This window comes from Homo sapiens, chromosome 15, assembly GCF_000001405.40.
Source record: "Homo sapiens chromosome 15, GRCh38.p14 Primary Assembly".
In the NCBI taxonomy this organism is placed as follows: Eukaryota; Metazoa; Chordata; class Mammalia; order Primates; family Hominidae; genus Homo; species Homo sapiens.
Window position 1 is genome coordinate 22,844,972 of NC_000015.10, and position 25,266 is coordinate 22,870,237.

The 25,266-nt window shown below is 42.9% G+C and overlaps 2 protein-coding genes across 61 annotated transcripts in view, besides 1 other annotated feature; one reads left to right on the forward strand and one right to left on the reverse strand.

Annotated features, from left to right (window-relative positions):
• The window catches only part of NIPA2 (NIPA magnesium transporter 2), a 29,719-nt gene extending 6,306 nt beyond the window's left edge, over positions 1 to 23,413 (forward strand). For 11 of the 51 annotated variants that reach the window (XM_017022645.2, XM_011543877.3, XM_005272546.4 and 8 more), the window contains 6 exons: positions 175 to 296; positions 6,668 to 6,899; positions 8,241 to 8,297; positions 13,569 to 13,659; positions 15,658 to 15,818; positions 21,242 to 23,413. In XM_017022645.2, coding sequence (XP_016878134.1) covers positions 6,761 to 6,899; positions 8,241 to 8,297; positions 13,569 to 13,659; positions 15,658 to 15,818; positions 21,242 to 21,876 — 1,083 coding nt within the window. In that variant the 5' untranslated portion in view covers positions 175 to 296; positions 6,668 to 6,760 and the 3' untranslated portion in view covers positions 21,877 to 23,413. Of the gene's footprint in view, positions 1 to 174; positions 297 to 1,977; positions 2,076 to 5,968; positions 6,263 to 6,667; positions 6,900 to 8,240; positions 8,298 to 13,568; positions 13,660 to 15,657; positions 15,819 to 21,241 lie in introns of all 51 variants that reach the window. The other 40 variants (XM_047433158.1, XM_006720367.2, XM_047433160.1 and 37 more) reach the window with 6 other exon arrangements.
• Positions 355 to 464: an enhancer, noted in NCBI's record as "active region_9158". NCBI's record gives its function as "activates an Ori minimal core promoter by ATAC-STARR-seq in GM12878 lymphoblastoid cells {active_cell/tissue: GM12878}" and the evidence as "EXISTENCE:reporter gene assay evidence [ECO:0000049][PMID:35858748]".
• CYFIP1 (cytoplasmic FMR1 interacting protein 1) overlaps positions 22,081 to 25,266 on the reverse strand; it is a 113,847-nt gene continuing 110,661 nt past the window's right edge. For all 10 annotated transcript variants that reach the window (NM_001324119.2, NM_001324120.2, NM_001324125.3 and 7 more), the window contains one exon: positions 22,081 to 25,221. In NM_001324119.2, the coding sequence (NP_001311048.1) occupies positions 25,057 to 25,221 (165 nt within the window). In that variant the 3' untranslated portion in view covers positions 22,081 to 25,056. The remainder of the gene's footprint in view (positions 25,222 to 25,266) is intronic.

Below are 25,266 nucleotides of genomic sequence, written 5' to 3' on the forward strand. Positions count from 1 at the left end.
ATGGTCACAGTTCGGATTACTCCCGAGTCCCCCTAAGTAAACTGGGCAGGTGAACCACATGGAGCTTGGGAACCTAGTTGAAGTGAAATTTAGAAAATTTTACTGTTTATCTGTCTTTAATACTGGCCCTGCCTCATGGCTAATTCTTAAGAAGAAAAAATATCTCTGTTGCAGGCTCTCCCGGCTGTGATAGACCTTCAGTTACAGAGAGAGGGAGCAGAGTGGGACCAGGTCTGAGAATAGTGAAGCAACTCATTCCTTTCAGGACATTCCCTCTGATGTCCTATTTTCAAACTGTAAGTCAGAATGAGATCACTTATTTTCTTGGTGGCAGAAGGCTGCTTTATAATTTGAAGGCTTGCAAATTGTATGCTGCTTGTCATCCCCCAGCCCTCCACACATACACCCTGGTACAGTTCCATGCATGAAGAAACAACCAGATCACCTTATTTGGTGATATGCCTCATTCTAGAAAGATTTGTAAATCAAATTTGCTACCGTAAATGAGTGCCTTTTGTGGGGAAACCACCACAGAAAACCTAAGTAATTGTTTTTAAGGAACTTAAAGAGTTTACCTTGAAGATAGAACAGTAGTTGAGAATTAAATAGTAAAGAAGAGAAAATGCCTGTGGGCTGGAGTTAATTGCAGAAGTCTTTGTAGCACAGCTTAAGGTGTACCCTGGCCTTGAGTGGAGAGCAGGCTTTGGGTTGCAGGAGGAGGAGGAGGGGAGGGCCTGTCTGAGGGTGTCAGGTTTCTGTGTTAGGAAATGAAGTGGGCAGGAGAGGGGTGCCTGGCCAGGGGGACTCTCGAAAGCCATATGCACATGATGGACCCAGCTGGTCAGAAAAGGCCTTCTCTCTGCTTTTTGTGTTTGAAATTTCCCATAACACATAAATTAAAATAAAAGGGAAAGGGGAAAATAGATTTTAAATAGCATCATGAAACTTTATGTAAAATAAATATGGAGAAAATCTCATATGATAGCCTTAGTAAGGTTAGGAATAATGTTCATTGGCCTTAGGATTAAATGAGTAAAATTCCATTATATGTATTGTTTTAATCACCTCTTCACCTTGTCAGTGAGAGAGGGATTTCCATCCCACAGTACTGACACTGGACAGACGAGATGGACGGAAGTTTCTTAGTCTTTCGCTTAGGATAGAACGGAGAACCAGGGGCTGCGGGAGGCAAGGCTTTGTGGTAACGAGAGTGGCTGTGGTTCCTGCAGAAAGACTAATAATTGCTTTCAGAATTCCTTGGGCTGGCAGGGCAGTGGGGCCTACTCCTCAGGCATAAGCAGCAACTGTACCTGTGCCTGGTCACTGTGATGAGAATTGTTTGGCATCTTGGGGAGGGAAGCTTGCCCTGAGGCCATTAAAAGCTCCTGGTTTTTACCAGATGTCAAGGCAACATGTAATACTGGCTCTTAATGTTAGACCTTACACCACATGTATGTAACTTGCATTTAGTGAAAGTTAACATTAAGTGTTAGTAAATATTAGTAAATTAAGTAGTTACAAATCAGTTATTTGAAAGGTTCATGATACAAGTAAAATCTGGGCAGGATGCAGTGGGTGACACTTGTAATCTACCACTTTGGGAGGCCGAGGCAGGCAGATCGCTTGAGCTCAGGAGTTTGGGACCAGCCTGGACAACATGGTGAAACTCTGTATCGACAAAAAATACCAAAATTAGCCAGGTGGTGTAGTGTTGCACACTTATGGTCCCAGCTACTTGAGAGGCTGAGGTGGGAGGATCACTTGAGCCTGGGAAGTCGAGGTTGCAGTGAACCATGATTGTGCCACTGCACTCCAGCCTGGGTGACAGAATGAGACCCTGTCTCCAAAATAATAATAATAATAATAATAATTATTATTATTATTATTTAAATTTGGATTTGTGAGTCTGTTGTTTTTTGTTTTTGTTGTTGTTTTTTTTTTGTTTGTTTGAGACCGAGTTTCGCTCTTGTTGCCCAGGCTGGAGTGCAATGGTGTAATCTTGGCTCACCACAACCTCTGCCTCCCGGGTTCAAGCGATTCTCCTGCCTCAGCCTCCCGAGTAGCTAAGATTACAGGTATGTGCCACCATGCCCTGCTAATTTTTTTGTATTTTTAGTAGAGACAGGGTTTCTCCATGTTGGTCAGGCTGGTCTCGAACTCCCGACCTCAGGTGATCTGCCCGCTTCTTCCTCCCAAAGTGCTGGGATTACAGGCCTGAGCCACCGCGCCCGGCCTTGTGAGTCTATTGTTATACTGGGATTAGAACTGTAGATAAACCTGACTTTTTTCTGGATATCATCTTTATTGGTAAGAAGGTTCAATTTTATTGCTTACAGAATATTCAGACTATAAATTTGATTTGTTCCATTACCATAGAACTTAAAGTATATAGTGAGCAATACAGCTGTCAAGTAGTCACTTCCACAGCAGTAGAACTTGCATGATAATTAAGAACATTGCTTCATGAAGACAAAGATTAAAGGAGGATGATGATTCTTTTTTTTTTTTTCCGAGACGGAGTCTTGCTCTGTCACCTAGGGTGGAATGCAGTGGGGTGATCTCGGCTTACTGAAACCTCCGCCTTCTGGCTTCAAGCAGTTCTCCTGCCTCAGCCTCCCAAGTAGCTATGATTACAGGAACCCGCCACTGCGCCAGCTAATTTTTGTATTTTTAGTAGAGATGGGGTTTCACCATGTTGGCAAGGATGGTCTCGAAATCCTGACCTCGTGATCTGCCCACCTCGGCCTCCCAAAGTGTTGGGATTACAGGCATGAGCCACCGTGCCCGGCCGATGATTTTTATGTCAGATGATCTTTTTTATTTTATCTTATTTTTATTTTTTTGAGACAGAGTTTCTATCTTGTTGCCCAGGCTGGAATGCAATGGCACTATCTCAACTCACCACAACCTCTGCCTCCCTGGTTGAGGCAATTCTCCTGCCTCAGCCTCCCAGGTAGCTGGGATTACAGGCATGTGCCACCACGCCCAGCTAATTTTTGTATTTTTAGTAGAGACGGGGTTTCTCCATGTTGGTCAGGCTGGTCTCGAACTCCCGACCTCAGGTGATCCGCCCACCTCGGCCTCCCAAAGTGCTGGGATTACAGGCGTGAGCCACCACGCCTGGTCGATGATTTTTATGTTGGATGATCTTAAGGAATGCTTTCATTGAAGTGAGGTGACCCTGACTCATGAGAAGGATATACCTGCCAGGAGGGCTGAAGCGTTTGGGTAGCTCGGTTTCTCACTCCCATTTTCGTAGTCCGTATAACCATTTTCCTTGCATTTTCACTTCCATCTAGTACTGCCACTTGCTAGCATATTGGATAAATGATTATGGTTCTCAAGTTTAAAAGCTATAAAACATCGGTTACATTTTAGGATGCCAATCTAAATGATGCAGTAGTTTTCTGTGTATTAATGGCTGCTTTGTTTGTTTGTTTGAGACCAGGCATAACTATGTTGCCCAGGCTAAACTTGAACTCCTGGTTTCAAGCAATCCTTCTGCCTCAGCCTCCTGGTGTGTACCACTGTATCTGGCTGTTTTTAAGGGCTAATTATGAATTATTCCATTTGGCTGGGGTGGTGGCTCATGGCTGTAATCCTAGCACTTTTTGAAGGCTGAGATGGGCGGATCACTCGAGGTCAGGAGTTCCAGACCAGCCTGGCCAACATAGTGAAACTCCATCTCTACTAAAAATACAAAAACTAGCTGGGCATGGCAGCATGTGCCTGTAGTCCCAGCTACTCAGAGGCTGAGGCAGGAGAATCACTTGAACCTGGGCAGTAGAGGTTGCAGTGAGCCGAGATCATGCTACTGCACTCTAGCCTGGGTGACAGAGCAAGACTCTTGTCTCAAAAAAAAAAAAAAAAAAAAAAAAAAGAATTACTCCATTCATCCATATTCACCCAGAAAACACACATTAAGACCTATTTTGAGACTACCAGATAGCTATGTGCATAGGCTAAAAGGGCGAATATCATGCAGGAGCCCAGGAGCTTACAGTCTGATGCAGGAGACTGGCTGATAAACACAGATCAACAAGCCATGCAGGATGCAGTGGGAACAGTGTAAGCACACCTGCTTTTTGTTGCAATCTTACAGCGTGTAGAAATGATGATTGTCCCTGACATCTTGTTTCAAGTTCTCCTACCTTGTCTTTAAATGTGTTTACATCTCTGTAATTTATTTTTACTGTCAATGAGACTCACCTATCTAGAATTATTCCATAGATATGCTGAAGTTAACTTGAGGCTTGAGATGACCAGTATTTGGCACATAAAGTGGGTAATACCTTAGATTGTTCAGCTTCTTTCTTTTTATGTATATATCTGTTAATGTGGTGACTCATCCAAGATCACACCTCCAGCTGGAAGCAAGACGGGGTCTCCAAACTCCCCACCTAAGACTTTTCTCATGGAATCTTGCCTTATGAATGGCACAGAGGGACTAGGGGTACTTTTCCAAATCTGTTAAGGGAGAGGTCAGTTCTGGAAGGCTTTCGGGTAGACAGTCTCATCCATGAGATTATGACTGATACTTAGAAGAACTCAGCACCTTTTTGACTTGAGTGTTTTCTTTCAATGTTTCAGTATTTTTTTTTTTTTTGAGATAGAGTCTCGCTCTGTCGCCCAGGCTGGAGTGCAGTGGCGCGATCTCGGCTCACTGCAAGCTCCCCGTCCCAGGTTCATGCCATTCTCCCGCCTCAGCCTCCCAAGTAGCTGGAACTACAGGCGCCTGCCACCACTTCCGGCTAATTTTGTTTTTGTATTTTTAGTAGAGATGGGGTTTCACCGTGTTAGCCAGGATGACTCGATCTCCTGACCTTGTGATCCACCAGCCTCAGCCTCCCAAAGTGCTGGGATTACATGTGTGAGCCACCGCGCCCGACCCAGTGTTTCAGTATTATTTTGTCTTAGGTTGTGGGGTGACCTGGCTTTTGGGACTTGCTGGTGGTTTCTACCTTGGCATCCTTGTACCTTTTGAGCACTAAAGGTTGTATTTTAAAAACGTTAATATGGAAATGTTCAGAAATACACAAAAGCAGATATAGTAATACAATGAGTCCCTGTGTACCCATCACCCAGCTTTTACCCATCACTGAATCCCCATTTTCTACAGAAAATTTTTGGTTTTTCAAAAATCAGGGTGGAAACTTCATACTTGCAGTAAGCCTGTTTGTGTGTGTGAGTTAGCTATCTCAGTGGCATAGAGGAATGAGCACTTAGATCATGCTCACAGTTCTGTGAGTCACTGGGACGATTTTGTTCTGTACCCTTCACTCTGTTGTGATCAGGACATGCACTTCCTGTGGCTATGGCAGGGTGCGAAGGGGCAAGCAGAAGTAAGAGAGGCCTCTAGGTGTAGACTCAGAACTGGCACTCTGTTCCTTACACCTCCCTCCCATTGGCCAAAGCAAGCTTGATGGCCAAGCGGCAAATCAGGGGTGAGGGAGAATAGTCTTCTCATTGAATCATACAGGAACGATAATGCACCTTAATGGGCAAATCAAAAACATTGGACTTTTTCATTTCTTGGGAGTAATATCAACTCAGTGTGATAATGTCGTGTTTACCATTATTGCAGTCTCCCTGCAGTAATGTTATCACTCCTTATTTAACTATCTCTTGTCTGTCTTCCTTGTGAAGCTAGAGAGCTTAGCATAATAAACGCTTAGCACATAATATCCAGTAAATACTGTTTGAATGGATGGATAAAGTAATTGAGGGGCTAGGTGGACAGGGAGTTTAAGTTGCTTTGGTTAAAAGCCAGTGTCTCATAACTTGAAGAACGGAAAAACATGGCTAGTTAGGGTCCTGACTGAATTGCAGATTAGTTTTGGAACTCCGAAGTTAAATTGTGGGACTAAAAATCCCAAGATGTGCTAGAAAGCTGATCTGGCAGTTAGAACCAATCATAAACCTTGTTGCTAAAAACTATTTTTTCTCTGCTATCCACACTGTGCTTTAGTTCATCTGTCAACTGAGTTTATGAGTTGGCCATTTGGAAAAACAATTGCAGTCTTGGTAAGCCTCTGCTTCCTGTCTGGCCTCGAGGATTGAGCCCTCCAGATACCATGGTCCTCATGTTCTCCAAAGGCCACCGGTACCATACTGCACGCCCCAGCAGACACCTCTCTGCAAGAATTGTTACCCTCTGATAAATAATGTGAAATCTGCCTTCTCTCAGCACATCCCTGAATAGGCTAAATAAATAAATTAGCATATGCTTATGTGCACCTATTGCTAAGAAGAAAATGTATGGGTGAGAAAATTTTGAGTTTCTTTGTATAGATTATTCAAAAGGACACATTTGAGAACCTGATAAATGTATTTCCAAACTAGATTTGTATATTATGCCTAATTTTTTCTGCAGAATTTTTTTTTCTTATCAGAAAGTTTTATTAAGGCTAGAAACATTTTTTTTTAAAATATGGGATCAGAGTTTATGAAATCAGTTTAAACTTGGTTTTATAGCATGATCCTATCTTTTGCCATAATTTGAAGAAATATACAGGTTGGTGCTAAATTTAAATAATAAATATTATCAATATTAGTAATGAAGGAGCTATTTTTTCTTTAGGGGAAGAGAAATGGAGTAAAATTTTGAATTGCATGTGAGCTGTCATGAGCATTCTGTGAAAACCACATTTCATTTTTTATTGTTTAGGTTTGAAGACTGCTTCATTCTGCCTCTAGTACCAGCGGTTTCTCTGTTCTGTGATCAATGTGATTCACAGGAACTCCTTAAGTAACAAACGAAATGAGCCAGGGGCGTGGAAAATATGACTTCTATATTGGTCTGGGATTGGCTATGAGCTCCAGCATTTTCATTGGAGGAAGTTTCATTTTGAAAAAAAAGGGCCTCCTTCGACTTGCCAGGAAAGGCTCTATGAGAGCAGGTAGGTTATGCCTTATGTGACTTTGAAGTGACCTCAGTGTCTACCTACATGCACAGGTTCTTTGTACAAGACCACATCTTCATTCCTCGTGAGTGTATTTGAAACTTTGAATTGTTCAAGAGTTCTAAATGTTTACAAAGTTGATGTTTGGTTATTTATATTGAGAAAAGAAGTGAGAAGATGTCATAATTAGTTAACTACTCAGTCCTGCAGTTATCATCAAAATGGAAACAGGGACCAATGCCCAAGTAATATCCAACCTTTTCTTTAAATTTTGATATGTCTGCAGGGAAGGAAATAAGAGTCCATGGTTAGGCTGGGCGTGGTGGCTCATGCCTGTAATCCCAGCACTTTGGGAGGCTGAGGCGGGTGGATCACCTGAGGTCAGGAGTTCGAGACCAGCCTGGCAAACATGGTGAAACCCCATCTCTACTGAAAATACAAAAATTAGCCGGGCATGGTGGCCTGGCCTATAGTCCCAGCTACTCAGGAGGATGAGGCAGCAGAATCGCTTGAACCCGGGAGGCAGAAACCTCTGCAGTGAGCCAAAATGGCACCACTGCACTCCAGCCTGGGTGACAGAGTGAGACTCCGTCTAAAAAAAAAAAAAAGCCATGGTTAAAATCAGAATTTATTAAAGGCTGGGATCTTTTGTCCATGATAGTAGACGTTCTGACTTTGAACTTCGACATTTTGGCAGGAAGGAAAGACTGGGCTTCCCCAGCTTGAAGAGTATCCAGTTTAGTGAACTTCGGCTGGTGTAGGTTGTTTCTCTAGAAATCACTGACAAGTCACAAGACCCTGCGGGGTAATCAGGATGATTGGCCCTGCCCTGACTCCTCTATCAGGGACACTCGTGGTAGCTCCCGGTGTTAAGTGGCGTTATGGTCACATTCCATCATTCTATCCTGGCTTCATTTTTAGACCTGATTGGACCTTATGAGGAGAGCTGCCTTGGCAGGAAACAGTACCACCCTTCTGTCTTCCCTGTGCCATCTCTGTGGCTAAACCTAATTCAGCAGTCAGAAAAACATGAAATGATAGCCTCTATGGGGTTCAGTGGACAGAGGAGAAACTGTCAGCATCTACTGCTTGTTCCCCTAGTCCCTGATGCTTGGTCCTAAGAGGTGCTCTCACTGTTCATGACGGGTATGCTTGTAAAGGATTCATTCACCTTGGCAAGATAATCATTAAGAAATTGTCAGAGAAATCCCGAGTCATGCAGAAACCTTTATTTAAAGGAGTAACTGAGATATTTAAAAATCTGTCATTACTAATAGTTATAATTTATACAAGAGTCTTACAGTCTTCCAAAGATGTGAAATATTTCTTCATTCACAGGTCAAGGTGGCCATGCATATCTTAAGGAATGGTTGTGGTGGGCTGGACTGCTGTCAAGTATGTATAAAGAACATTGCAAGAAAAATATGATAGCTATATATTAAAATATTTGCATATGGTATTATAGCCTCATTACTAGCAAGTTTTAAAGGTTTAAATAATCTTTTTTTTTTTTTTTTTGAGACAGAGTCTCACTCTGTCACCCAGGCTGGAGTGCAGTGGCGTGATCTTGGCTCAGTGCAACCTCCACCTCCTGGATTCAAGCGATTCTCCTGCCTCAGCCTCCCAAGTAGTTGGGATTACAGGCGTGCCACCACCACGCCCAGCTAATTTTTTGTATTTTTAGTAGAGACGGGGTTTCACTGTGTTGGTCAGGCTGGTCTCAAACTCCTGACCTCAGGTGATTCACCTGCCTTGCCCTCGCAAAGTGCTGGGATTACAGGCGTGAGCCACCGCACCCGGCCTACTTTTTTCATTTTTGTGAGTACTTAGTAGGTACTTATAGGGTACATGAGATACTTTAATAAAGGCATGCAATTCATAATAATTGCATTATGGTATCCATGGGTTATCCATCCCCTCAACAATTTATCCTTTGCAGGACAAACAATCCAGTTAGTCCTTTTTTTTGTTTTTGAGATGGAATCTTGCTCTGTCGCCAGGCTGTAATGCAGTGGCCCATCTCGGCTCACTGCAGCCTTCGCCTCCCGGGTTCAAGCGATTATCCTGCCTCATCCTCCTGAGTAGCTGAGACTACTGGTGCGCACCACTATGCCCAGCTAATTTTTGTATTTTTAGTAGAGACAGGGATTCACACGTTGGCCAGGCTGGTCTCGATCTCTTGACCTCGTGATCCGCCCACCTTGGCCTCCCAAAGTGCTGGGATTACAGGCGTGAGCCACCATGCCCAGCCGTTACTTATTTATTTATTTTTTGAGACACAGTCTTGCTCTGTTGCCAGGCTGGAGTGTAGTGGCACCATCTTGGCTCACTGCAACCTCTGCCTCCTGGGTTCAAGCGATTCTCCTGCCTCATCCTCCTGAGTAGCTGGACTACAGGTGTGCGCCACCAAGCCCAGCTAATTTTTGTATTTTTAGTAGGGAAGGGGTTTCACCATGTTGCCCAGGATGGTCTCGATCTCCTGACCTTGTGATCTGTCTGCCTCAGCCTCCCAAAGTGCTGGGATTACAGGTGTGAGCCACCGTGCCTGGCCTCTTAGTTATTTTTAAATGTACAATTAAATTATTATTGGGCCGGGCGCGGTGGCTCACACCTGTAATCCCAGCACTTTGGGAGGCCAAGGCGGGTGGATCACTTGAGGTCAAGAGTTCAAGACCAGCCTGGCCAACATGGTGAAACCCCGTCTCTACTAAAAATAGCAAAAATTAGCCGGGCGTGGTGGCAGGCGCCTGTAATCACAGCTACTCGGGAGGCTGAGGCCCGAGAATCGCTTGAAACTGGGAGGTGGAGGTTGCAGTGAGCTGATAACTGCACCACTGCACTCCAGCCTGGGTGATAGAGTGAGACTCAGTCTCAAAAAACAAAACAAAAAAAATTATTATTGACTGTAGTCACCCTGTTGTGCTATCAAATACTTGATGTTATTCACCAGGTATTCAAGTCTTTCTATTTGTCGTACCCTCATAGTGCATTTAAATGGAACGACAAGGCTTTTTTTTACCCATCTGATTAAAACATGTTTGATAGGCCTGTGCATTTTTAAAATTTCTGCTCAATTTAAGGTAATTTTGAAAGTTAAGAGGAGAATTCTGTTTTAATTTGTTGCCCCTCCATTTGTTCTCATTCCAAATTAAAAAGAGGTATGTATTTGATAAGACTTACCAAATAAAAATACAAAAAATCACCATGCCTATTTTGGTAATAACTTTTAAAAAGGCACGTGGAAAAAAATTATTCTGGGCCGGGCGTGGTGGCTCATGCCTGTAATCCCAGCACTTTGGGAGCCCGAGGTGGGTGGATCACCTGAGGTCAGGAGTGAGACCAGCCTGACCAACATGGAGAAACCTCGTCTCTAGTAAAAAAAAAAACAAAAGAATTAGCTGGGCATGGTGGTGCATGCCTGTAATCCCAGCTACTCGGGAGGCTGAGGCAGGAGAATCGCTTGGACCTGAAAGGCAGAGGTTACAGTGAGCTGAGATTGTGCCGTTGCACTCCAGCCTGGGCAACAAGAGTGAAACTGTCTCAAAAAAAAAAAAATATTCTGAAGACACTGAGCCTTGACTGACTGTTCAGTCAACAAATACTTATTGATCATGTCTTGTATGCCAGGCATTGTTCTAGGTGCTGGAGATACATCAGTGAGAGGAAAAGACTGAAAAATCTCCACCCACATGAAGCTTACATTCTAGGTGGGAGACATTAAACAAGATAAAGAAGTTATGTGTTTATGTGCCTGTGCGTGATGATAAATGGGAAGGAGAAGGAGTGAAGTCGGAAGGAGTGTTGTGAAATGGAGGATAGATAGGTTTATTAGGATGTTAGATCTGCAGCCAGGGCCAGCCTCGCTGAAAGGTATTTGGGTAGAAGATGTAAAGGAAGCGAGTGATCTGCCCATATGATATTTGGGGGAGAAACCCTTGAAGCAGGAGGAAACTGTAACTGTGAAGGCCACGAGTGGGGAGCATGCCAGGCCAATTAACGTGTGATACATAGCCCTCAGTGACTCCCCTCCTGGTATTCACACCTTTCTCTAATCCCCTTTCACAGTGAATTAGTGCAGTTCAAAACGGTGTGATCCAAGAATACCACAGAAGTGATGATGTGTGTCTTCCGAGGTGAAGCAGAGAGAGGCATTGCAGCTTTTTCCTGATTCCTTGGATTGCTCACTTTGAGAGAAGCCAGCTGCTGTGCTCTGAGGACACTCAGGCAGCCATGGAGAGCTCCCCAGGCTCTCACTGTGCCAGGACCTACTTGCCAGTCCTGTGAGTGAGCTACCTTGGCTCACCTGTTGTGTATTAAAAAATACACAACAATAGTCAGTTGGAAGGGAAAAAATGGATGAAGAGTTCTAAGGTTCTGGCATTATCCAGAAGGAAATAAAGCTAAATATTAATATTAGACTTCACAGGTTAAGCATACACGTAATTTCTAGAGTATTCAGTTAAAAAAAATAGAAGATTGTGTATAATTTCCTAATTAGTTAAAAAGCTTTCTCCAAGCTTTTTTTTTTTCTTTTTGAGAAGTCAGTCATACATAAATGGAAATTAGATAGTAGAGAGTATCCTGGATAAAAAGATATTTGAGACATTGCAGCCAAATTCCTTGATTGAATTTTAACAGTAACCATATTTAAAAGACATTTTGGGAATTAAAGAAGAAAGAGTTTAACAAGAGAAGAAAAAGGCAAATTGTAGAGTGTAAATGAAGATAATTGTAATATGTTTAACCAATAAAAGATTTACATCTGAAATATATAAAGAATTACCTTAAATCAATTAGAGAAAACAGGATAAACTTTAACAGCTACTTCCCTAAAAGATTTCATAGGGTTAATAAACAAATGAAAATGGGAAATGCAAATTGAAGGCATAACAGAATCATCCCATACTCCTAACAAAGATCAGCAGGGAGAATGTGGAGCAAAGGGAGCTCTCATACGCTGCTAAATGAAAATTGGCATAACTTTTGGAAAAAGCAGTAGCCAAGAGGGATCCTTTTGTGAGATCATGCCTCTGCCCTGTGTAGGATTCCTCAGTAGCTTTTCAATTTAGATAATTCCTTAGTGGGACTTAATTTCCCAGTGTTCTAAAATTTCTTATCTGACAGCCCATATCTAATGCCATGACACATAGTAGGATACCTTCTTTCATCACCAGCACTTTATTCTTTTCCCTCACTGTTTTTCTTCATAACACTTTTAACCTCTTGGCACATGTGCTTGGTTTGTCTGTCTTCCCTCACTAAAAGTTTTATGAGAGGCTGGGCGTGGTGGCTCACGCCTGTAATCCCAGCACTTTGGGAGGCTGAGGCGGGTGGATCACCTTAGGTCAGGAGTTCAAGACCAGCCTGACCAACATGGTGAAACCCTGTCTCTACTAAAAATACAAAAATCAGCCGGGTGTGGTGGCGGGTATGTGGGCCTGTAATCCCAGCTACTTGGGAGGCTGAGGCAGGAGAATCGCTTTAACTTGGGAGGTGGAGGTTGTAGTGAGCCAAGATCACGCACGCCATTGCAGTGCAGACTGGGCGACAGAGCGAGACTCTGTCTCAAAAAAAAAAAAAAAGTTTTATCAGAGCAATGTCTTTGTTTTGCACCCTGCTGTATATCCTGATTCTAGAACAGGACCTGGTGTATAGCATGATTTGCATTTTTAAAAAGAGCAAGCTGGGCACGGTGGCTCACGCCTATAATCCCAGCACTTTGGGAGGCTGAGGTGGGTGGATCATTTGAGGTCAGGAGTTCAAGACCAGCCTGGTCAACATGGTGAAACCCCGTCTCTACTAAAAATATAAAAATTACCTGGGCATGGTGGCGCCCGCCTGTAGTCCCAGCTACTCGGGAGGCCGAGGCAGGAGAATTGCTTGAACCCGGGAGGTGGAGGTTGCAGTGAGCTGAGATCGTGCCACTGCATTCCAGCCTGGGCGATAGAGCAAGACTCCATCTCAAAAAAAAAAAAAAAAAAAAAAGGACCAAATGAAAAGGACTTGGGGGAAGAGTACCTTTACCTTCATGTCGGCTTCTTCTCAGTGATTTTTATTTACTGTCCTGGGATATAAGTATCTATTTAAAATTTTTATTAAAATGCCTTATGTCAGCATGAGCTAGATTTCTTCCGTTAGATTTACAGATATGTGTTGTTTCTAGAATGTTTCTAATTGACTTGGACTCTTACTGTAATAGAAATTTACAGACCCATAACCCTTATTAATAAATTGGAGAGGCTGGGCGCAGTGGCTCACGCCTGTAATCCCAGCACTTTGGGAGGCCGAGGCGGGCAGATCACGAGGTCAGGAGATCAAGACCATCCTGGCTAACACGGTGAAACTCCGTCTCTACTAAAAATACAAAAAAATTAGCTGGGCATAGTGGCGAGTGCCTGCGGTCCCAGCTACTTGGGAGGCTGAGGCAGGAGAATGGCGTGAACCCGGGAGGCGGAGCTCGCAGTGAGTTGAGATCACACCACTGCACTGCAGCCTGGGCGACAGAGTGAGACTCCGTCTCAAAAAAATAAAAATAATAAATTGGAAAAATATGGAGGTTACTAAATACAGTTGAAATAATATATAGATAGTGCATAAAATGCCGGCATTTCCAAGTTGAGTACATACATTCTTACCTGAGTTTTTCTTTTGTTGTCTGTCTCTAAGTGGGAGCTGGTGAGGTGGCCAACTTCGCTGCGTATGCGTTTGCACCAGCCACTCTAGTGACTCCACTAGGAGCTCTCAGCGTGCTAGTAAGGTAAGGACACGTTTTTCATGTAGAAACAGTAGTCGGTATCTTAGTTTCTAAAATATTCAGTACCATCTAATTAAATATGTTCAACACAATTTACATTTCAACAACCTGGAGAACTTCGCTTTTTACACTACGTAGTAATTGCTTTTAAAAAGTTACTTCTGTGCATAGGCAGGCTATTGATTTGTGGGAGAAAATGCTTTGTCTTGCTTGTATTCAGAGCCAGTACTAGTTCTACTTCGATTTCAGTTTTTTAATATTCAAAGTTGGCTGGGAACAGTGGCTCATGCCTGTAATCCCAGCATTTTGGGAGGCCAAGACGGGTGGATCACCTGAGGTCAGAAGTTTGAGACCAGCCTAACATGGTAAAACCCTGTCTCTACTAAAAATACAAAAATTAGCTGGGCGTGGTGGCGGGCACCTGTAGTCCCAGCTACTCAGGAGGCTGAGACAGGAGAATGGCTTGAACGCAGGAAGAGGAGGTTGCAATGACCCGAGATAGCACCACTGCACTCCACCCTGGGCTATAGAGCGAGACTCTGTCTCAAAAAATAAATAAATAAAAAATAAGTAAAATTCAAAGTTACACTCATCCCAGTATTTATCATTCAGTGCATGTGCACTTTGGTAGGGTCTGGTTGGTAATGAGTAGATTTCTTTTTCTTTTTTTTTTTTTTTTTTTTGAGGCGGAGTCTTGCTCTGTCGCCCACGCTGGAGTGCAGTGGCACGATCTCGGCTCCCTGCAAGCTCCACCTCCCGGGTTCACACCATTCTCCTGCCACAGCCTCCCGAGTAGCTGGGACTACAGGCACCCGCCACCACACCTGGCTAATGTTTTGTATTTTTAGTAGAGATGTGGTTTCACCATGTTAGCCAGGATGGTCTCGATGTCCTGACCTCGTGATCCACCCGCCTTGGCCTCCCAAAGTGTTGGGATTACAGGCGTGAGCCACTGTGCCCGGCCAATGAGTAGATTTGCATGCCTGGCCTGGAGTGCTTGTTTTGAATGAGTGATCTGAGATTTGTCCCATTTCTGCTTTGTAATGATTAGCCCAAACAACTAAGCCCATATTGATGTCTGGATCTTGGTTACTATTCCCAAAGTAGATTGACTGATTTTTATCTGTTTTTTTTTCCCCAAAAAACTATATGTAAAACAGGGTTATGGTATAAGTCATTGCCCTTTACCCTTAATTTTCTTTGTAGTATTTTGTTACTGTATTTATTGGTTTATGCTGTATTTTCTTTTTAGGTCTAGATAAAACTAGCTACAAGTTATTAAAACCTGATAATGTAATAGGCAAATTATATACAATTAACAACATAAGAGGGGTGCATGCATCAACCAATAGGAATAAGTTGAGTAAATTTTAAGCACTGGTGGTTTGGATAGAGATTCTTTTTTTTTTTTTTTTCCTTTGGAGATGGAGTTTCACTGTGTCACCCAGGCTGGAGTGCAGTGGCGCGATGTCAGCTCGCTGCAACCTCTGCCTTCTAGGTCCTGCCCCAGCCTCCCGAGTAGCTGGGATTACAGGATGCCCGCCACCATGCCTGACTGATTTTTGTATTTTTAGTAGAGATGGGGTTTCACCATGTTGGCCAGGCTGGGCTTGAACTCCTGACCTGAGGTGACCCGCGCACCTTGGCCTCCCAAAGTGCTGGGATTACAGGCGTGAGGCACTCTGCCTGGCCTGGATATAGGTTCTTAATTAGGATATAAATGTATACAAATTTGTTCTTTATTATAAATTTCATACTGACTTCTTGCAGTGGAAAGATGGTAAGTATACAGGTGTAGTGTATGATGAAGCAGATGATTCCCTAGAAATGTTTACATTTTATGATGAAATGTATACTTTTTTTCCTTGGCGAAAGCCAGAATCTTCATAAGTTCACAGTGTTTTAGTTTGATTTCAGTGATTTAAATTACGAGTTTTATTGATATTTGAAAAAGGAAAGTAGCTGATTAAAGTTCTCAATTTTTTTTCCTCCCCATTTTAGTGCCATTCTTTCTTCATACTTTCTCAATGAAAGACTTAATCTTCATGGGAAAATTGGGTGTTTGCTAAGTATTCTAGGATCTACAGTTATGGTCATTCATGCTCCAAAGGAAGAGGAGATTGAGACTTTAAATGAAATGTCTCACAAGCTAGGTGATCCAGGTAAGAAAAAAGTCTTATTAGTCTTACTGTATTTTACTTTTTAACTTAGTTTTTACTTTAATCGAAATTTGATGAGCACATAAGGAAAGAAATTGTTCCACCTGGTAGAAGAACAAATTGTCGTCATGTTCCCTGCTCCCTCCTATCAATCCCAAGCCTGTGTTTCTACTGTTCTTTAACTCTGTGTTTGTAAGTAGTGTGCGTATATTGCTACTACTTACTTCCTTAGCTTTAGGCATTATCTGTTTTACCTTTTATTTACTGTACCTATATAGTTTTCTTGAGATTGTTTACATTATCATTGATACATAACTTTTATTGTCATCTTAGTCTTTATTATGGTTGTTGTTCCTTCCCTGTATAATTTGTTTTTCCAGAAGTAATAATTATCTTGTTTGTGTAGTTTTTTATGAATCGATCAATGTATCATGAAACTCTTCCCCAGTTGACTAATTCTACTCTCAGTAATTTCAAACAAAGAGGTATTCTTTGTTTCATCTCTTTTGGAAATTTCTCTCAGTGCCTTCTGTGTGGCCTCAATCTAGGCGGGTGTCTCCAGGCTGCCAGCACAGCTGTTATCTGCATTTCTCTTCAGCAGCATCCTGGGGATTCCCTTCAGTTTGCTTTTTCTTGGATCCCTTATTTCCAGAATCCTGGGTTTGTGCCTTCATTTTGGTGGTGTCACTCTAGAGGAGACAAGAAAGGGCATGAAGAGATGAGATTTTTTGAGACCTTGTTTATCTCAAAATGTTTTTAACCTATTGTGACCACCGTCTTCTCATTTCTGATGTTGCTGTTGAGAAATTGAACAGTTTATCCCTTATCTTTTATATGCGACCAATTTTTTGTTTTTGGAAGCATGTAGGATGTTCTCTTTCCCCACAGTGTCTGAAATTTCCCACTGACATGCCTAGAGATGGGTCCATTTTTGTCCATTGTGCTGGGTGCCTGATGGTTCATTTTATTTTGAGACAGGGCCGTGTTGCCCAGGCTGGAATGCAGTGATGTGATCTCAGCTCACTGCAACCTCCTCCTCCCCAGCCCAAGCGATTCTCCCATCTCAGCCTTCCAAGTAGCTGGGACTGCAGGCGTGTGCCACCATGCCTGGCTAATTTTTTTTGTTTGTTTGGTAGAAACAAGGTTTTACCATGTTGGCCAGGTTGGTGTCGAACTCCTGATCACAAGTGATCCACCCACCTTGCCTCCCAAAGTGTTGGGATTACAGGTGTGAGCCACCATGCCTCGCCTGATGGGTCTCTCTTTTTTTTTTTTTTTGAGACAGAGTTTTGTTCTTCTTGCTCAGGCTGGAGTGCAATGGCGTGATCTCGGCTCACTGCATCCTCCGCCTCTTGGGTTCAAGTTATTCTCCTGCCTCAGCCTCCCAAGTAGCTGGGATTACAGGCGCCCACCACCACGCCCAGCTAATTTTTGTATTTTTAGTAGAGACAGGGTTTCACCAGGTTGGCCAGGCTGGTCTCGAATTCCTGACCTCAGGTGATCCACCTGCCTCGGCCTCCCAAAGTGCTGGGATTACAGGTGTGAGCTACTGTGCCTGGCCTGATCTGAAAATTTATGTCTGACTCTTGGGAACTGAATTGAATACTCCTTTGATATTCTTGTTTGCTCTTTGTGAGATTCTTATTCATCTGTTTATTGCAGTTCCTGACCTAGATCATTAATTTTCTTATCTTTTCTTTCCCTCATTTTACCATTTTGTCTTTTTGCTCTGCCTTTGGGGAGATTTTCTGTTTTTTCTTCCAGCCCTTCTGAGTTTTTATTTCTGCGGTTATATTGTTAATTTCTAAGAGTTTCTTGCCTCTGTTCTTTGATTCCTAGTTATTTTAAAGTCTTTGTCTGCTAACTTTAGTTTTAGAATTCTTTGTGGGCCTCCTGTGGTGGTGTTTCTCTTTTGGCTTTTAGGCATTTTTTAATTGAATGCTGGATGTAGGATATTAGAAGGTGTAGAGGTTTTAAGTGATGTTTTTTCTTCCTTCAGAGAGAATGTAAATTTCTTCTGGTAGGCAGAAAAGAATACAGTAGCTCACCTTCACCCTGAAGGTATTGTTTTAAGCTTTGTTGGGCCTAGTTTCTTTCAGTTTGCCTTTATTCTTTTTTTTTTTTTTTTTTTTGGAGACAGTATCTCACTCTGTTGCCCAGGCTGGAGTGCAGTGGTGTGATCATGGCTCACTGCATCCTCTGCCTCTCGGGCTCAAGCGATCCTCCCACCTCAGCCTCCTGTGTAGCTGGGACTACAGGTGTGTGCCACCACATCTGGCTAATTTTTGTATTTTCTTTGTTTTTTTTTTTTTGAGATGGAGTCTCGCCGTCACCCAGGCTGGAGCACAGTGGTGCAGTCTCGGCTCATTGCTCCCTCTGCCTCCTGGGTTCAAGTGATTCTCCTGCTTTAGCCTCCCAAGTAGTTGCGATGACAGGCATGCGCCACTGTGCCTGGCCTAATTTTTGTATCTTTTTTTGGTAGAGACAGGGTTTTGTCATGTTGGCTGGGCTGGTCTCAACCTACTGGGCTCAAGTGATCCACCTCCCTCGGCCTCCCAAAGGGCTGGGATTACAGGCATGAGCCACCACACCTGGCTCAGTTTGCCTTTATTCTTATTCATAGCCCTTTGGCTCTCAACTGATAGCTTCAGATGTTGGTTTGGGCCCCTCCACCTGAGAAACTGAGAGCTCCAGGATCTGCTCCTCAGTAACTTGAGACACTAAAATCCCTGCTTAGTCCTGTGGCCTCCTGGCCGGGCTTTCCATTTGGCTCCTCTGACCTTGGCTGTGCAGCTTGTGTGCCAAGAAACACCGTAAGGGGAAATGCACACAGAAATTTGGGCTCACTACTCTATAGTTCCCTCCTTTCTGGGTCTTGTTCCATTCAGTTCCAGCTGCTTAGGCAGCCCCAAATTCCAACTTGTTTTTACCTAGTCCCCTTAAGCTTAGGCCGGTGTTGATTGGCCTTTATGCCATCTCACCCCTTGCATTAGTAGTTGCCCCAAGGGAGAAGGCAGAGGTGAGTGTTGGGCTGATTCTTCTCTTTTCTCTGGATTTTGGCCCTTTAAGTCCTGGCTACTTTGATGGCTCTTTGATGCCCTCAAATAAATGTTTCTTTTTTATTTGTTTGGGGTTTTTTGTTGTTGTAGATCCATCGTTTGTAGGTATTTGGGGTGCCAGGTCAGTCTGTTTCATTGTGTCTCTGAGGATATTAATAATAGTTTTTCTTGCTTTTCTGAGGATATTAGTAATTTTTTTGTTTTTTGAGGGACAGTTGTTTATTTTGAAGTTTTCCTCTGTCTACATGGGAGAAAGAGGCTTTGCACTTTTCTGTTTGTTTTGGCTTCTCTCCTGGTGGTCTTTGGCTATCTTTCTTTTTATTTTTTTGAGACAGAGTCTTGCTCTGTTGCCCAGGCTGGAGTGCAGTGGCGTGATCTTGGCTCACTGCAAGCTCCCCTCCCGGGTTCACGCCATTCTCCTGCCTCAGCCTCCCGAGTAGCTGGGACTACAGGCACCCACCACCAGGCCTGGCTAATTTTTTGTATTTTTAGTAGAGACGGGGTTTCACCATGTTAGCCAGGATGGTCTCGATCTTCTGACCTCATGATCCGCCCACCTCGGCCGCCCAAAGTGCTGGGATTACAGGCGTGAGCCACCACGCCCGGCCTGCTGTCCTCTGTTATGTAAAAGTTGGGCTGGTCAGATCCCCAGCAAAAAAAGCTTCCAGTTTCATGGCTGGCTGTGGGCATCCTGGGAATTGACTGGGGGGAAGGATTAATGCCTGGAGGCATGGTTGACCTCAGCTTCCTGGAACTCTGTGGCACGGGAGGGACAGTCTCCCAGAACTGGGCAGGAGTCTCCTTGTTTCTTGAATGGACTTTTCAGCCAGGCCTCACTTTCAATCTTGCCTTTACTCCACTTCAGAGGCACTTTGTATCTTTTGAGCATTCTGTGCCACAAACTAAATTGCTTTTTCATCTTTTATCACAGCGGATGTGTAGGATTCCGCTTTCTTGGATCTCTGTACCAGTTATTAGTTAGCCTTTGCTTTCTGACTTACGAAGGATTGTTATCTTCGGTCCTCTCTTTTTTCTTGAGACAGTCTCACTCTATTGCCCAGGCTGGAGTGCAGTGGCATGATCTCAGCTCATTGCAACCTCCACCTCCCAGATTCAAGCGATTCTCCTGTTTCAGCCTCCCAAGTAGCTGGCATTACAGGTGTCTGCCACCACGCCTGGCTAATTTTTGTATTTTTAGAAGAGATGAGGTTTCACCATGTTGGCTAGGCTGGTCTCGAACTCCTGACCTCAGGTGATCTGCCATCCTCGGCCTCCCAGTGCTGGGATTACAGGCGTGAGCCACCACACCTGGCTTCTTGTTCTTAATTTTGTGTATTTGTGTCTTTAATAATCTATTACTGCTGGGTGCGGTGGCTCACGCCTGTAATCCCAGCACTTTGGGAGGCCAGAGCGGGTGGATCACGAGGTCAGGAGATGGAGACCATCCTGACTAACATGGTGAAACCCCGTCTCTACTAAGAATACAAAAAATTAGCTGGGCGTGTTGGCGGGCACCTGTAGTCCCAGCTACTCAGGAGGCTGAGGCAGGAGAATGGCGTGAACCCGGGAGGCGGAGCTTGCAGTGAGCCGAGATCGCACCACTGCACTCCAGCCTGGGCGACAGAGCAAGACTCTGTCTCAAAAAAAAAAAATCCTATTACTGTGTATTTTATTAGTGGAATTTGAGGAAGGAAGAGTAAATTCATGTGACTTATCTGGGCCTCAGTTTCCTCATCCGAAAATGCAGGTGGTAGTATCCGTGATAACAGGGTAGTTGAGTGCGAATTGCTGAGAAAAATGCCTGGCCCACAGTGCTACACAGTTGTTGGCTATTATCATGCTGGATTTAATTCTCCGTATTCAACCAGAACCCCAGTAGTATCTTTCAAGTTCTCCAGTTGACTTGCTCGTTACTCCAGCAGTTGTCCACAAATTTTAAAAGTTTCCCCTTTTAGGGAAAACTTGATGAAGAACTCTTGTTTTTGTGTTTTTTGTTTTTTTTAGCATCTATAAATTGTTGAACATTCAAGGCCACCTCATGGTTTCTCCTCCCTAGTTTCTGTGTCTGTTCTGTTCCCACTGTCCCTCTTGCCTGGTGAGCTAGAGCACTTAAGTCGGCATAAAGTGCTGCTGCAAAAATGTTAGGGGTATAACAATTTGTGAATATGAAGCTCGCATTAATCTTCCAGTGTGTCCATCTAAGTAAATTTTTGTGGTTGCATTTCTGCTTGGGCTGCAAAATAAAGCTGATTTTTATTTCCAGGCCATACCTTTTCTCCCTATCAAGTTTATTATATTTTGTTTTGCATTCTGTGTTTAAGAACAACCAACCATTTGACTCATGTAACTTTTCTTTGCCTCCTCCAGGTTTTGTGGTCTTTGCAACCCTTGTGGTCATTGTGGCCTTGATATTAATCTTCGTGGTGGGTCCTCGCCATGGACAGACAAACATTCTTGTGTACATAACAATCTGCTCTGTAATCGGCGCGTTTTCAGTCTCCTGTGTGAAGGGCCTGGGCATTGCTATCAAGGAGCTGTTTGCAGGGAAGCCTGTGCTGCGGCATCCCCTGGCTTGGATTCTGCTGCTGAGCCTCATCGTCTGTGTGAGCACACAGATTAATTACCTAAATAGGGCCCTGGATATATTCAACACTTCCATTGTGACTCCAATATATTATGTATTCTTTACAACATCAGTTTTAACTTGTTCAGCTATTCTTTTTAAGGAGTGGCAAGATATGCCTGTTGACGATGTCATTGGTACTTTGAGTGGCTTCTTTACAATCATTGTGGGGATATTCTTGTTGCATGCCTTTAAAGACGTCAGCTTTAGTCTAGCAAGTCTGCCTGTGTCTTTTCGAAAAGACGAGAAAGCAATGAATGGCAATCTCTCTAATATGTATGAAGTTCTTAATAATAATGAAGAAAGCTTAACCTGTGGAATCGAACAACACACTGGTGAAAATGTCTCCCGAAGAAATGGAAATCTGACAGCTTTTTAAGAAAGGTGTAATTAAAGGTTAATCTGTGATTGTTATGAAGTGAATTTGAATATCATCAGAATGTGTCTGAAAAAACATTGTCCTCAAATAATGTTCTTTAAAGGCAATCTTTTTAAAGATTTCACTAATTTGGACCAAGAAATTACTTTTCTTGTATTTAAACAAACAATGGTAGCTCACTAAAATGACCTCAGCACATGACGATTTCTATTAACATTTTATTGTTGTAGAAGTATTTTACATTTTCATCCCTTCTCCAAAAGCCGAATGCACTAATGACAGTTTTAAGTCTATGAAAATGCTTTATTTTTTCATTGGTGATGAAAGTCTGAAATGTGCATTTGTCATCCCCACTCCATCAATCCCTGACCATGTAAGGCTTTTTTATTTTAAAAAAACAGAGTTATCCCAATACATTATCCTGTGATTTACCTTACCTACAAAAGTGGCTCCTGTTTGTTTGATGATGATTGGTTTTATTTTTGAAATATTTATTAAGGGAAAACTAAGTTACTGAATGAAGGAACCTCTTTCTTACAAAACAAAAAAAAGGGCAGAAATCACCCCAAGGAACGATTTCTCAGGTTGAGATGATCACCGTGAATCCGGCTTCCTCTGAGCATTCGATGGCCTTAGCACCTCATCAAGCCAGCACATCCTGCCTGCTGTTGCAGCCTGGCTGGGTTTATTCTTCAGTTACCCTAATCCCATGATGCCTGGAACCTTGATTACCGTTTTACATCAGCTCTTGTACTTTTCAGTATATTTTCATAATGAGTTATATTGTCATTTAGACTTTGAACAGCTCTGGGAAATAGAAGACTAGGGTTGTTTCTTAAATTTAGCTCATGTTATAATAAAAAGTTGAAATGAAGTTCTTATTCTAAAAGTCTGAATGCTTAGAACAAACTTAACATGTTTATAGAATATGGTCTCTTTGTACCAAGTACTTTGCTTAAGAGCTCCTTTGGGCCACTACATATTTTGGTTTCTAGAAAATGTTTGTTTATGAAGAAGTCGATGGAAAACTGCAAACATATGCAGAAAAGGTAGAATAATAAAAAAGGTCTAATGAACTCCATTCAGCTTTGAACCTATCCACTCATAACCATTGACTGGCCTTTAAAAAAAAGTATTGGCAGAATTAATTTCCACCTAGGTGATGGGAAGAAAGTGTTCGCCTGTTCCAGCCTGTGGCTCCTGCCTGGAGGTTACCCAGTGGTGCGCCAGCGCCAAGCCATCACTCCCCGAGGGCCTCCCCTGCCAATGGTGCTGGTATCCCATGCAGCTCACCACTGGCTGCGTGGAAACTCCCTTTTTTCCAACTTTATTATTGGCCTTCTAAGGAGCTGTTTTAGATGTTTTTTCTAACTGCCTCCTCCCATGCCATTTTAATACTACAGATGTACTACGTATCTGTTTATATACTGTACCTACATCTGTGCTTTGTACATAAAAGAACCAGTTTTCTCCCCCTTGAGGACAGAGACTCATTTGAACATGCATAGGTTAATAAATAATAAATTCTTATTTAACATTTTGTAGCACTTGAGATTGTCTTATACCTAAGGTATTACATATTTGGTATATAATTAAGCCTTATAAAACTTGGTAATTGATTAAGTTTTACCATAATTTTTCATCCTATTCTGTAGTTTCTAAGATAAGCACAGCTACCACCTCTAAATCTGCAGCAGAATGCTGGCCCCAGGGTTATTAATTCACATTACCAAAAGCATTTTTAGGGAACTTTTTATAAAGAAAGAATAATTGTTTGTTAGGCTTCATGTCACTTGAGTGAGTTTGGCAGTGTAACAGGATGGTTCGTACACTTACTACTTTTCTGTGCCGTGCATCATATGCTTCTGGACAGTTTCCAAAGGCCTCCGGAAAAGTAGGCGAGGCCTGCTTTTTATGGCAACTTGGCATCCATAGAAAATTTTAAAATTGGTGAAGGTTGCAATACTCCAAATAATGTAAAATGACTGCCAGGCTACAATATAAAGTGAGTTCAGTTAATCATGCTGGACTTGTGTTTATCTGTAGTATTCATCTACAATAAACAGGCATAGCATCTTTTTCCATTCAGTTAGTTAGGATTTTCAGAACCTCATTGCCTTAGTACTTTTTAAAATATGGCTTTAGTTTCTCAAACATGTTCGTGACTCTACTGGTAGTCTAGACCGATTGTTTTTCATTCTGACAGATCATGTGAACCAGCTCCAGCCATGTGAGCCCTGTGGATCGGGGACAGCTGAAGGCTGGACTCGGTGCTCCCGGTCCCTTTGTGCAGCACCCACTGGGCCTGACTGATCTCCTCCCACATTGCTGGCTTCCTCCAGGTCATGGGCACAGGTAACAGAGAGGCACTGAGTAGCCTCTTCATATCCAGATTGGAGCAGCCAACACGGCCGTTTTACACCTCATTTGCCTGCGGAACCCTAAATATAAAGCTAAACCTGTGCTGAGGTGAGCGGTATATGGGATGGTGTCACGGTCCCATCCCACCTCAGCCTTAGAGGTGACCTCCATCCCAGCTGGCCTGGTATGTGAGTTCAGGTTAGAGTTCCTTGCCAAGCCAGGCAGCACAGGGTTAGAGTAAATAAATGAACACAAATAGATCTCATTAGTTTTATTTCTATAACCTTTCGATCTGATGTCACGTTAGATTTTGTCACAACTGGATTTAGTGGAAGCAGGGGAATCAAGTTCACTATTTTCTGAAACACACAAAAAAGGGATGGGAACAATGACTTAGAACTAAGATTGCTCATAAAAGACCATCAGAAAGATCCCTAAACAAAAGCTAAATAGTTACAGTTAATGGTAACTGGCAAGGGATTTAATGCATTTGCTGGTATTAAGTTTCTTATGGAATGAATGAATGAACCCAGCAGCATTTTATGACACAGCTGCCAGAACATCCCATAGAAAAACAATTTTGTAGGAACGTGATGGCAACAATCAGCAGCCAATATTCTCAAGAGTTCCTAATTACCAAAAGCATATACAATTTTAGTCTAGAAAAATAAGTCAATTTTATAAAATTAAGTTTTTAGATCGAAAAGCACCCCCTTTAACAGGTACAGAGATACTGAAAAATAGTCCCTAAAAATCTCACTAAATAGTTTACGGAGAGAAAGGCATGCCATGTTGAGTTACGGAGTGCAGCGCGTGCCCTCAGCTGCTGGCGAGGGACTGGTGGATGGGCGGCTGGAAGCAGCGCACATGCTCCACTGGCGTGCCCTCCCCGTCGCCTGACTTCAGGTACTTATCCAGGATGGTGATGATCTCATCATTGAGAATCTGGAACTTGCGAATTCTCTCCACCATCTTCTTCAAAGGCTACAACCATCAAAGTGAGGATGTTTTACTATTAACACTTCAACA